This window comes from Homo sapiens, chromosome 17 (genome assembly GCF_000001405.40).
Source record: "Homo sapiens chromosome 17, GRCh38.p14 Primary Assembly".
NCBI lineage: Eukaryota > Metazoa > Chordata > Mammalia > Primates > Hominidae > Homo > Homo sapiens.
Window position 1 is genome coordinate 61,734,422 of NC_000017.11, and position 12,412 is coordinate 61,746,833.

At 36.1% G+C, this 12,412-nt stretch overlaps 1 protein-coding gene across 21 annotated transcripts in view; it reads right to left on the reverse strand.

Moving 5' to 3' along the window:
- BRIP1 (BRCA1 interacting DNA helicase 1) overlaps positions 1–12,412 on the reverse strand; it is a 184,390-nt gene that overhangs the window by 55,283 nt on the left and 116,695 nt on the right. For 13 of the 21 annotated variants that reach the window (XM_047436893.1, XM_047436891.1, XM_011525333.4 and 10 more), the window contains 2 exons: positions 10,011–10,170; positions 8,592–8,713 (listed from right to left, as the gene is read on the reverse strand). In XM_047436893.1, the coding sequence (XP_047292849.1) occupies positions 8,592–8,713; positions 10,011–10,170 (282 nt within the window). Of the gene's footprint in view, positions 1–4,789; positions 4,990–8,591; positions 8,714–10,010; positions 10,171–12,412 lie in introns of all 21 variants that reach the window. The other 8 variants (XM_047436903.1, XM_047436895.1, XM_011525339.4 and 5 more) reach the window with 1 other exon arrangement.

Genomic DNA, 12,412 nt, shown 5'->3' on the forward strand with positions numbered 1-12,412 from the left:
TCCTTATGAATGATCAGAAGCATCTGGGAAAGGTGGAAGTGAAAAAAATCCTCACTGGGAAAGTTAGCTTAATGCTTACCTTCAGAGTAGCCCATTATCAACATTTCATAGTGGGTTTCTTTATTTTCAGGTCCCTCAGGTATGTGCAATAAATTATGACTTGAACTAAACAAGTCACACTTGGCTCCAAAATGAAATTTTCCTACCTCTACTTTCTAGTCCCTAAGGTGGGAAGAGGAAATCCTGGTCACAGCCAAAGGAGTCATATTTTTGGCTCTAACATACATTTTCCTTCTTCTCAAAAAGCCAAACCCTGCTATTGAGACTGCAAAGTCTTATGTTAGTATTTTAAACTGTATTTTAACTTTTACTTCCATAATCTTTCTCAAATTTAAGAAAAAATTTTAGTATCATAAAATTAATGTCACTGCCTTCTTTTTCCCACTCAAATCACTTTTCTGACTCAATGATCTTAACCTTTTTAAATATGAAGTCAAATGAAATAGACAAAATAATGCAGAAATAGGTTGTTTCGTTTCTATAAGGTAGAACATTTAAATTTTTATTTACTAAATAACTTCTACTTATTAGACTATTAATGTAAAAGAAAACTATAAAGTTCTAATTTAAGGTCCTATAATTTGAAGCATAGTTTTAGTTTTGGAAGAGCCATCTATGTAGGTCATTTAGATCATCATCTCTTTTCATAGGGAATAGGAGTATGGCAGACACACCCTAAGGTGATATACAGAGAGTCACAACTTTGTAATGCTCTCCCCTTAAGTGAGGGCAGAACCAGTGATTTGCTTCTAGCCAACAGAATATGGAAAGGGTTCTGGGATAGTCACTCTTAATTAGGTTATATTATATAGCAAAAATGATGGGAAGTTATTCCCATGATTTTTTAATTTTATTTTTTTCCTCACAATTTTATTAAGTTGTGTAAGACTCTGTATTGGCTGACTGGGGCTAGAGAGCTTCCTATTGGCCTCTGGAAGTATACTGTCATGATACGAGGGGGCTTGTGAAAAGGCCACATGGCAAGAAACTGTGAATAGCTTCTTGAAGCCAAGAGTACACCTTAGGGCTAGGCACGGTGGCTCACACTTGTAATCCCAGCACTTTGGGAGGCTGACGCGGGTGGATTACTTGAGCTCAGGAGTTCGAGACCAGCCTGGGCAACATAGCAAGATCCTGCCTCTACAAAAAAAAAAAAACCACGTTTAAAAATTAGCTGGGTGTGGTGGCGTGTGGCTGTAGTGCCAGCTACCCAGGAGGCTGAGGTGGGAGGATCACCTGAGCCCGAGAGGCCAAGGCTGCAGTGACCCATGACCGCACCACTGCACTCTAGCCTGGGCAATGGAGTGAGACCCTGTTTTCAAAAAAATTTAAAAAAGACTGCCTCTTGGATGGATTAGGAAGAACCTCAGTCCTACAACCACAAACGGACCCCAAGTGCCAGATAACAACACAACCTGGCCAACACTCTGATTGCAGCAGTTTTGTGGAACCCTGACCCAGCTAAGCCATGCCCACACTTGTGACCAATGGAAACTGAGATAATAAATGTGTGTTAAGCCACTATGTGATAATTTGTTACACAGCAATAAAAAACTAATACAGGCTGGGCATGATGGCTCACACCTATAATCCCAGCACTTTGGGAGGCTGAGGTCTGAGCATCCCTTAAGGCCAGGAGTTCAAGGCCAGCTTGTACAACATAGCAAGACCTCGCCTCTCCAAAAAAAAAAAAAAGTTTAGCCAGGTGTGGTGGCACATGCCTACAGTCCTAGCTACCCAGGAGACTGAGGCAGGAGGATCAATTGAGCCCATGAGCTCAAGGCTGCAGTGAGCTATGATTGTGCCACTGCACTCCAACCTGGGCGACAGAACAAGACCTTGTCTATAAAATAAAATAAAAATATTTAAATAAATAAATAATAAAAGAGGGATAGCTAATATAGTCAATATAAGATACTCCCTCCACTTATTATGTTCTACTATGTATTAAATAAAGTGTAAGATGCTGTTGAGGATTGAGCATTCCCTTCTACATATCCTCTAATGATTTACTACTATAACTACCCTGTATTGCCTCCTTATGAGTCATATCACTGTTTACTACCATCCTGTTCATTATTATCTAATGATTACTATCATTTCCATCCTTAAAGTCTCCAGGAATGGAGAGTGGTTGCTGTTGTTTTTAAAAACAAATAACAAAGTCAAATACAATTTTAACAACTTCTACTAAAACCCCATTCAATCATTAACTAAAACATTTATTAAACACTGTGTTTTTAGGTAATATCTTAGTTGTAGAGACACAAAGATGCTGAAGAAATTATCCCTATCCTCAAGGTACACCATGAAACAGATTATAAAACATCTTTATAAACACTAAATATGTGCTTTAGGAAATAATAAAGGACACTGGTAAAGGTAACTGCAGGTGAATACTACAATATGCTTTTGAATTGCAATTCCTCTGTTTTCCCTATATTATTTAAAAGGCAAATGCATAAAAACAATAATTAAAAACTAACAGCCACACAAAGTATAAAGATGGAATCTGTGACAATAACAATATAAAAAGGGAGGAACAGAGATTCAGATGATAGTTATAATCCCCAAGGTAAATACTAAAAACCAAAAAATACATATAAAAGGAAAGAAGGGAATCAAAATAGTATACTACAAATCAACTAAATACAAAAAAGGAAATGATGAAGGATTGAGGAACAAAAAGCACATGACACAAGAAAACAAATAGCTACATAGCAAAAGTAAGTCCTTTCCTATCAGTAATTACTTTAAATGTAAATGGTTTAAACTCTCCAATTGAAAGGCAGAGATTGGCCAAATGGATTTTTAAAAACCTGATCCAACTATACGCTGTAAATAAAAGATTCACTTAGATATAAGGAAATTGGACCTCACCATATATCACATAGAAAAATTTACTCAAGAGGAATCAAATATCTAAATTAAAGAGTTACAACTATAAAACTCTTCAAGGAAAACATTAGGGGCAAATATGCATGATGTTGGATTTGCCAGTATTTTCCTAAATATGACACCAAAGCACAGGCAACAAACAAACAAAAAAAACAGATAAACTGGACTGCATTAGAATTTTAAACTTAACTTTTATATTCCATAGAGGCATACAAATATTTTCAAATACTTGTTTAACCATTTATAAAAATGTTAAGAAATCACCCATAATGATGCTCTGACATATTTCAAGTATTTTAGGTATTGACTGCTATATTCTGGGCATTTCCAAATAATAAAAAGCCTTCTTAATCATTATAAAAACTGCATGCGTATACTCTTAAAGCTTGTAACACACCAGTCTTATAAATGGATAACTAACAAATACCTTTTAATTATGAAAAAATGCGATAGTTGAGGACTTCTTTTTGAAGTCATGATTCTAAGTCCTTTGCCATGTGCGGTAGAAATTATCCCTTTTCTCCCCTTCCTTGACTTTGAGATTGTGCATGGACGTGTTTTGGGCAACAGGAGGTTAGCAGATGTGATGTAAATAGGTATTTGACTTAACTGCTTACAGTTAAGCCTGCCCTCTTGTACTACTGCCATTGCAATAATAACATGCCTTGGCTAGTCTGTTGGTCCACAAAGAATGAAATACAGGTGGAACAGAGCTGACTCAGTTGACTTCAACACAGATCAGCCAACTAGGGCAGAGTAGCTGAGCCCAGCTAAAATCGAGAGAGCCAACCAACCAAGCCCAAGCCTAGATCATCTGTCACCCAATCACTCCAGAGATGTATGACCTGTAATAAATGATTGCTGTTTTAAGTCACTAAGTTTTGGAGTTGTTACAGAAGAAGAACTGATCCAGACATATGGCAATAAGAAATACACTTCCCAGTACATCTAGTAGTGCTGGTAAATAATTTCACTTTTTCTATCCCTTGTCCCTGCAGCTTGAACTATTCTTGTGTCCACTCTACTTGTACCTTTTGGGAACCACTAGGGATAACCCTTTAGAACCACCTTCCTCCCCTCTACCCAGAACCCATTGATGCTTCTGTTATTTTGCTGTTTTATGCACATAAGCAGAACTATGACAAATAGGATCATGACTGAGGAATGTCAGAGTAGGCCATCAGGTGTCTTTTTTGCATGACAGACTGAGATATTGTCTAGGAAGAATTTATCCTGAGGAAAAAAAGCATTAAGAACCCCAGATTGGTATAATAACAATGTTCAAAATCATAGCTGTTGAGGCAAAGGTGGAGAAAAGAGAAATGGAATTTTCTCACAAATGTATATTTTTAATTTTAAGAATTTTTGGAAAATAATGAAGAATAACATAATAAATACCTGCATTCTCATATTTTCTTGCAGCTTATTTTCCTTTACTAAAAATTATGGAAAAAGTTAAAATTCTTTTGATAACTACTCTGAATATCATTCCCTTCTCTTCTCCTCATATGTAATCAGAATTATAATCTTGATGATCCTTTCAGGCCTTGTTACTTTGTACGTATAATATTTAGTACAACCTAGTATTAGCCATAAAGTTTTTCTTCTTTTCCAGGTCTCAAGAACTCATATGTAGGGTCCAAGGAAGAGAGAGGACATAGGCAAAAATGGAAATAATTAGTTTTAGGGAACAAAATTGTATTTTATTAAGATATTGGAAGAAGATGTGGTCTAAAGAAGGGAAAAGGATTCTTTCCACTTTAACAAAGCAGCCTTAGTGCAATAATGTAGAGCTAGAGTAAAATGATAAGACATTAAAAGGAGACAATACCAGTACCAACAGCAGTGCCATCAGTAGCACTCTACTTCAGTGGAATGCAGCACCAATGCTGTTGATGGTGACAGTAGATTTCTTGGGTAGATGTCAACTGTTTCATCAGTAGCTGTAGTCAAGGCAGCATCAGCCATTTTAGAATAGGAGACCCAGCTTTGGGCATAGCCATTAGTGCCCTCAGCAGTAGCACTGGTTAACTGGAGAAAGGTAGTAGAAACCACCAAAGTTACTGGAGGCTGAAAAAGTATTAGACTCTGAATCATCAAGTGAGATACCCCCTGAGGACTTTCAGAAATTTTGAAGAGGTCCAGAGGTTACGGAAGAGTAAGGGCTACCAAAAGAAATACTGCTTATTACTGTTAATGTTACCTAAAGACTGCTACGGACTAGAAAAATAAAAGAAAAATTATCTAATTCACAGTACCTAGTAAAGTATTAACAATTAAAAAGATAACTATTCTAATGAAAGAACTCCTGCTTTGGTATGAGACCCTAACTGACTGTATCCTAGGGGGAGGGATATAGGTCATAATCAATAAGTCAGCTCAGTGGTCAGAAAATCTCAAATTTTCTCAGATTGCCAGCACTTTCAAATGCCTGTAGGAAGTAAAAGAAAATCCTCCTTGATGAACAATAAGTTCAACTTAGGCTCAAATTATTACTATAGTTTTTCAAATATATTGTTTAGGAAACAGTCAGTGATAATGAGATACAACTGTTTCTGGCCAAGATTGAGTAACTGGTTTAAGAATATTTCTTCCATTGTAAGTAATCGCATAACCGGGCAAAATGGAGCAATTGTTTTCAGGTAGTAGACACCAAACAGCACAAGACAGTAATTCTGGAGCTAAGTGGAATTCATTAGGTGAACTCCATTATCCCAGTTCTCTGCTTGGGTATAATTTCCTGACCACAGCACAGAGCATTAAAGTACAAGCAGAGCGCAGTGGTCCTGTTGAGCTGAGGTGGAAGAGATCAGAATATGGAGTGACTAAATCACAAGATCTGCAAGGCAGGACACTGGAAAGAAGCGAGCCAGATGGACAAAAGACCCCAGGATTCCCCGGAGGAACCCATGAGTCTGTGGTTAAAAGACTGATAAAACACAAATTGCTGGGCTTCACTTCCACAGTTTCTGATTTGGCAGGTCTGGATGAGCCTGAAAGTCTTTATTTCTATTAAGTTCCCAGGTGATACGAATGCACCTGGCCCAGGACCAGACTTTGAAAATAACTCCTGTTGACCAAAGACAGTATAAGTTGAAAATAAAATAAAATCTGTATCTACTAAATTTTTCTCACTCATTCAGATTCACCAAAGATTTAAAAATGTCTAAGGATACAGGAAAACATATACAGGCATCCCTGAGAGACATTGCAAGTTTGGTTCCAGACCACCCCAATAAGGAGAATATCATAACAAAGTAAGTCACATGAATTTTTTGGTTTCCCAACACATATAAAAGCTATGTTTACACTATACTGCAGTCTATTAAGTGGGCAACAGCATTATGTCTCAAAAGCCAATGTATATACCTTAACTTGAAAATATTTTATTGCTAAAAAAGGTGAATGATCATCTGAGCCTTCAGTGAGTCACTCTCTTTGCTGGTAGAGGGTCTTGCCTCAATGATGACTGCTGACTGATCAGGGTGGTGGTTGCTAACGTTGGAGTGGCTGTGGCAATTTCTTAAAATAAGACGACCATGAAGTTTGCTCTATCATGTGACTCTTCCTTTCACAATAGATTTCTCTGTGGCATAAGATGCTCTTTGATAGCATTTTACCCAACATAAAACTTCTTTCAAAATTGGGGTCAAGCCTCTCAAACTCTGCCGCTGCTTCATGCACTAAGTTTATTTAATATTCTAACTCCTTTGTTGTCATTTCAACAATGTTCACAGCATCTTTACTAAGAATAGTTCCTATCTCAAGAAACCACTTTCTTTGCTCATCCATAAAATGCAACTCCTCATCTGTTCAAGTGTCCTCATGAGATTGCAGCAATTTAGTCACGTCTTAAGCTCCACTTCTAATTTAGTTCTCTTATTATTTCCACCACAGCTACAGTTACTTCCTCCACTGAACTCTTAACTCCCTCAGAGTCATCCAATGAGGGATGGAATCAATGACTTCCAAACTCCTGTAAGTGTTGATATTCTGACCTCCTCCCATGAATCATGAATGTTCTTAATGGCATCTAGAACGGTGAATCCTTTCCAGAAGGTTTTTAATCGACTGTGTCCAGATGCATCAGAGGACTCGCTATCTATAGCAGTTATAGCCTCGTGAAATGTACTTCTTAAGTAATGAGACTTGGAAGTAGAAATTACTCCTTTATTCATTGGCTGCAGAATGGATGTTTTGTTAGCAAGCATGAAAACAACATTAATCTCCTTGTACATCTCCATAGAGTTCTTGAGTGACCACATGTGTGGTTAATGAGCAGTAATATTTTGAAAGGAACTGATTTTTCTGAGGAGTAGATCTCAATAATGGACTTAAAATATTCAGTAAACCATGCTGTAAACAGATGTGCTGTCGTGCAGGCTTTGTTGTTCCATCTATACAGCACAGGCAGAGTAGATTTAGTATAATTCTTAAAGGCTCTAGGATTTTTAAAATGTTAAATGAGCATTGGCTTCAACTTAAAGTCACCAGCTGCACTGGCCCATCACAAGAGAGTCAGCCTGTTCTCTGAAGCTTTGAGGTCAGGCATTGACTTCTCCTCTCTAGCTATGAATGTCCTAGGTGGCATCTTCTTTCAATAGAAGGCTGATTCTTCTACACTGAAAATCTGTTGTTTTGCGTAGCCACCTTCATCAATTATCTTGGCCAGATCTTCTGGATAACTTGCTGTAGCTTCTCCATCAGCACCTGCTGCATTAACTTGCACTTTTAAGTTATGGAGATAGCTTCTTTCCTTAAACCTCATGAAACAACCTCTGCTAGCTTCAAACTTTTCTGCAGCCTCCTCACCTCTCTCAGCTTTCACAGAATTGAAGAGAGTTAGGGCCTTGCTCTGAATTAAGTTTTGGCTTAAGAGAATGTTACGGACAGTTTGATCTTCTTTCCAGACACTAAACCTTTCTCTATATCAGTAATAAGACTGTTTGCTTATTATTTGTACATTCACTGGAGTAACACTTTTAATTCCTTTGAAGAACTTTTCCTTTGCATTCACAATATGGCTAATTGGTTGGTGCAAGAGGCCTAGCTTTTGTCTTGTCTCAGCTTTCAATATGCCTTGCTCACTAAGCTTAATCATGTCTCGCCTTTGATTTAAAGTAGGAAGCATGCAACACTTCCTTTCACTTGAACACTCTGGGGCCATTGTAGGGTTATTAACTGGCCTAATTTCAGTATTGTTGTGTCTCAGGGAATGGAGAGTCCCAAGGAGAGAGAAATGGGGGAAGGGTAGTCAGTGGAGCAGTTAGAATACATACATCACTTATGAATTACGTTTGCTCTCTTATGTGGGTACAGTATGAGATGCCCCAAAACAATTACAATAGTAACATCAAAGATCACTTATCACAGATTACCCTAACAGTATAATAATAATGAAAAGGTTTGAAATATCGTGAGAATTAACCCAAATGTGAAACAGAAACAAGTGACCACATGCTGTTGGAAAAATGGTGCTGAAAGACTTGCACAATGCAGGGTTACCATAAACCTTCAATTTGTAAAAAAGCACTATAAAAGCAAAGCGCAATAAAATGAGGGATCCCTGCAATTAACTTTATACAAAACCAATGACTCCTGTAATAATAAAACTTAAGGTTTTGATGGCCTACCTGTAGATCTTTCACATTTGGAAAAGGAATTCCTATTGTTATGACAGCACGGGCATTGTCATCTGAGAAATCCAGACCCTCACTCACTTTACCACGACAAACTGCTACCAGGAGAGCTCCATCTTAAACAACAGAAAAAAGCATATCCAAAATTCTCAGAAATTGCTTATTCTTGTCATTTTGAAAATACCTGATTTATAATTATAGTAATTACAGTAGCAAATTTAAAATAATCAAAATAAAACACTATTATGAGATAAAGTTTTAAAAGTTCAATGTCTTTAAGTAAATAAGGGGAACAAAATTACATTTATATGCAAAAGGGTAGCAAACCAATTTACAAACTCTGCATCTTCCAGATAACTTATACAGTAAAAACATGTCAGAATAGCAACTTGCATATGAACTGTGTGATTATAAACAGGTTTATTTAATAAAAATTGAAGTTGCATTATTACCTTTACCACCTGAAAGTAAAATTCTCAGAATAATTGAAATAATTGTAATTGATAATACATATCATATGGAATCAATATATTTAAAAGTATTGAAAACAGACACAGAGAACACCATAATATATACACCATAAAAAGATACTGATATGTTATATTACCTCTTTCTTGCATTGTTCATAAACTACTACTATCCCTTCACATCAAACTTTTTTATTTTATTTTATTATTTTTTGTGTGTGAGACAGGGTCTCACTCTGTCAGCCAGGCTGGAGTGCAGTGGCACAATCACAGCTCACTGCAGCCTTGACCTCCTGGGCTCAGGTAATCCTCCCACCTCGGCCTCCTAAGTAGTTGGAACTATAGGCACATGCACCACACCCTGCTAATGTTTGTACTTTTTGTAGAGACAGGATTTCACCATGTTGCCCAGGCTGGTCTCGAACTCCTGGGCTCAAGTGATCCACCCGCCTCAGCCTCCCAAAGCGCTAGGATTACAGGCAAGAGCCACCACGCCCGGCCTCACATCAAACTCTTCATGGATATGCTCTAACTTGGAATTGAGTTTTCAGTTATGTTTTGAAAATTCAAGTTTACCTTATGTAATAGAATACAAGCACCAAGTGTACTAAATGCATCAGAATATAGGTCTCATTTGGCTAGTAAGGAATATATTTATATATATCCTAACTGCCTTTTTGCACAAACTATTTCAGGTAGTGCACTGAAGACTGTGAGATGATGGCATCGTTTTTCTTAAAGTTGAATCAGCATACTCAAGTGAAAATATTCATAGGAGAACAAGTACAATTAAAAGAATTTCTTTACCCAATTTATTTTCTTTTCACTCAGGATTATAATTTTTCTCTTAAGTGTAATTCATCTAAAAATATAAAATTATAATTGTACCTTCTTACTTTGTAATAAAAAATATTTTTTCACCGACCATGAAATAATTTCCAGTTACCTTTCTCTCCTTTGTATTTGATTGCGTCATAGTACACCTGCAGTAATTCATCAAAATTTGTTTTTTCTCCTCCCTGTGGTTCTACAATGACTGTCTTCACCAACTCCAGATTATGCCATAAACCAGTAGAGAGCCAACGTTCTTTTAATTTTTCTAATAACTAAAGAGGGGAAAGAAAAAAATGATTTTTTGTGTGTCTAGCTAAACAAACTTAACTTCATTTGTTTAAGCCAATGTGACTACGGCAAGTATATTAATCTCTCTGTGTCTTTTCTCATTTATAAAATGAGGAAAACAATATATCTCATAGAGCTGTTATGGGGTTAAATTTATTAACAGATTTAGAGAGATCTGAATGGTGCTGGCACAGTTAGCTGCTGCTGCTGCTACTACTACTATTATCTTGGCAATTTCTACCACTACTACTGCTACTACTACTATTACTACTACTACTTCTACTATTATCTTGGCAATTTCTACCACCACCACCACTACTACTACTACTACTACTATCTTGGCAATTTCAAAAGCAAAAGCAAAAAACAAAAAACCTCTGTCAAAGTTAACAAACTTTAAGTTCTCTCTTTAAACCTAAGGTGAAGTTTCTTAATATTCTTAAATAGTCTTCAAATGAAGATGATTTAAGATCATTTTACTAAGTGTATAGGCAGATAAGCTCATTATTTGAATATTTGATCATCATTAATAACCTGCATTGAAAAAAGATAGAAATAAAGACTCAGCCAAGAAGTAGAAAATATATGGGCACAAATGGAACATTTACAGCCATGGGCTAGATTACAAAAGGACATTCAACAAATTTTAAGCAATCCTTATCATATTGATCACATATTTCAACAGTTATGCCATGGTAGATTAAAAGTCAATAATATAAAGTCATGGTAGATTAAAAGTCAAGCCCAAAACAAAAACTCATCTTGATTGATTGATTGATTTTAGAGACAGGGTCTCTGTCACCCAGGCTGGAGTACAGTGGCAAGATCATAGCTCAGTGCAGCCTCGAACTACTAGGCTCAGGCAATCCCTCCACCTTAGCCTCCTGAGTAGCTGGGACTACAGGTGCATGCCACTACACCCAGCTAATTTTTATATTTTGTGTAGAGATGAGATCCTGCTTTGTTGCCCAGGCTAGTCTCAAACTTCTGGTCTCAAGGGATCCTCCAGACTCAGCCTTCCACAGTGCTGAAATTACAGGTGTGAACCAACACACGTGGCTGTAAAACTCATATTCTTAAAAACCATATGAGTTAAATAGAAAAAACACAGTATAACTCATGAAATCTTTAGTTATGAATAAGAAAAGCACTCACAATTCGAAACATGTGGCATACAGCAATGGCAATACATGGAAATACATTTATAGCTTTAAATATATTTATTTTTAAAATGTCAAAATAAAAGAATCAAGTATTCTTTCCAAGAAGCTAGAAAATGAAATATAGCAAATGCAAAGAAAGAAGTTAATAATAAAGCTGAATAAATGAAAAAGACAAAAGCTAATATTAGAGATTATTATTTAAATTGAACTGTTTTATCCACTTGTTATATACTATGAGTTCTACACAATTTGGACAAGTTATTATAAGAAACCACCCAAAATTCTCTGGAAAACAGCAACTGATCAATTTTTATAAGATAGTTTATTTCCTCAATTTTACCTTTAACTATTTTTAGAAATAAACTTCTTAATAAGACTATAAAACAAAACATTAGTAAAATAGTTAACTGCTGTACAATATGCTTTAATTAAATAGGAAGAACTACTTTAATTCCATAAACACAGCTAAGAAGTTATTATATTACTTTTTATTCTCCAGAAAGACATCAAGGGAGGAATAGAGGAACAAAAAAGCTGTAGTTAGACAGAAAACAATTATTGAAATGATAATAATGTCTTTCCCTATCGGTCATTACTTTAAATGTAAATGGATTAAATTTTCTAATCAAAAGATATAAAGTAGCTGGATAGATAAAAACGCTGTCTGCAAGTGACTCACTTTAAATTTAAGGATACCCATAGGCTGAAAGTGAAGGGATAGAAAAAGATATTACTTATAAATGGTAACCAAAAGACAGCAGAGGTGGCAATTCTAAGATACTAAATAGATTCTAAGTCAAAAATTGTCACAAGAGACAAAAAAAAAGGACATTATATAATGATAAATGGGTCAATTCACTGGGAATATTTAACAACTATAAATATACACACAACCAACATCAGAGCACCCAAATATAGCAAGCAAATAGTGATTGTACTGAAGAGAGAAATAAACAGCAATATAAGAGGAGTAGGAAAGTCATATATCTAACCTTCAGTAATGAATAAAACATCCAAACAGAAGATCAACAAGGAAACGGAACTTGAACAATACTAGAGACCA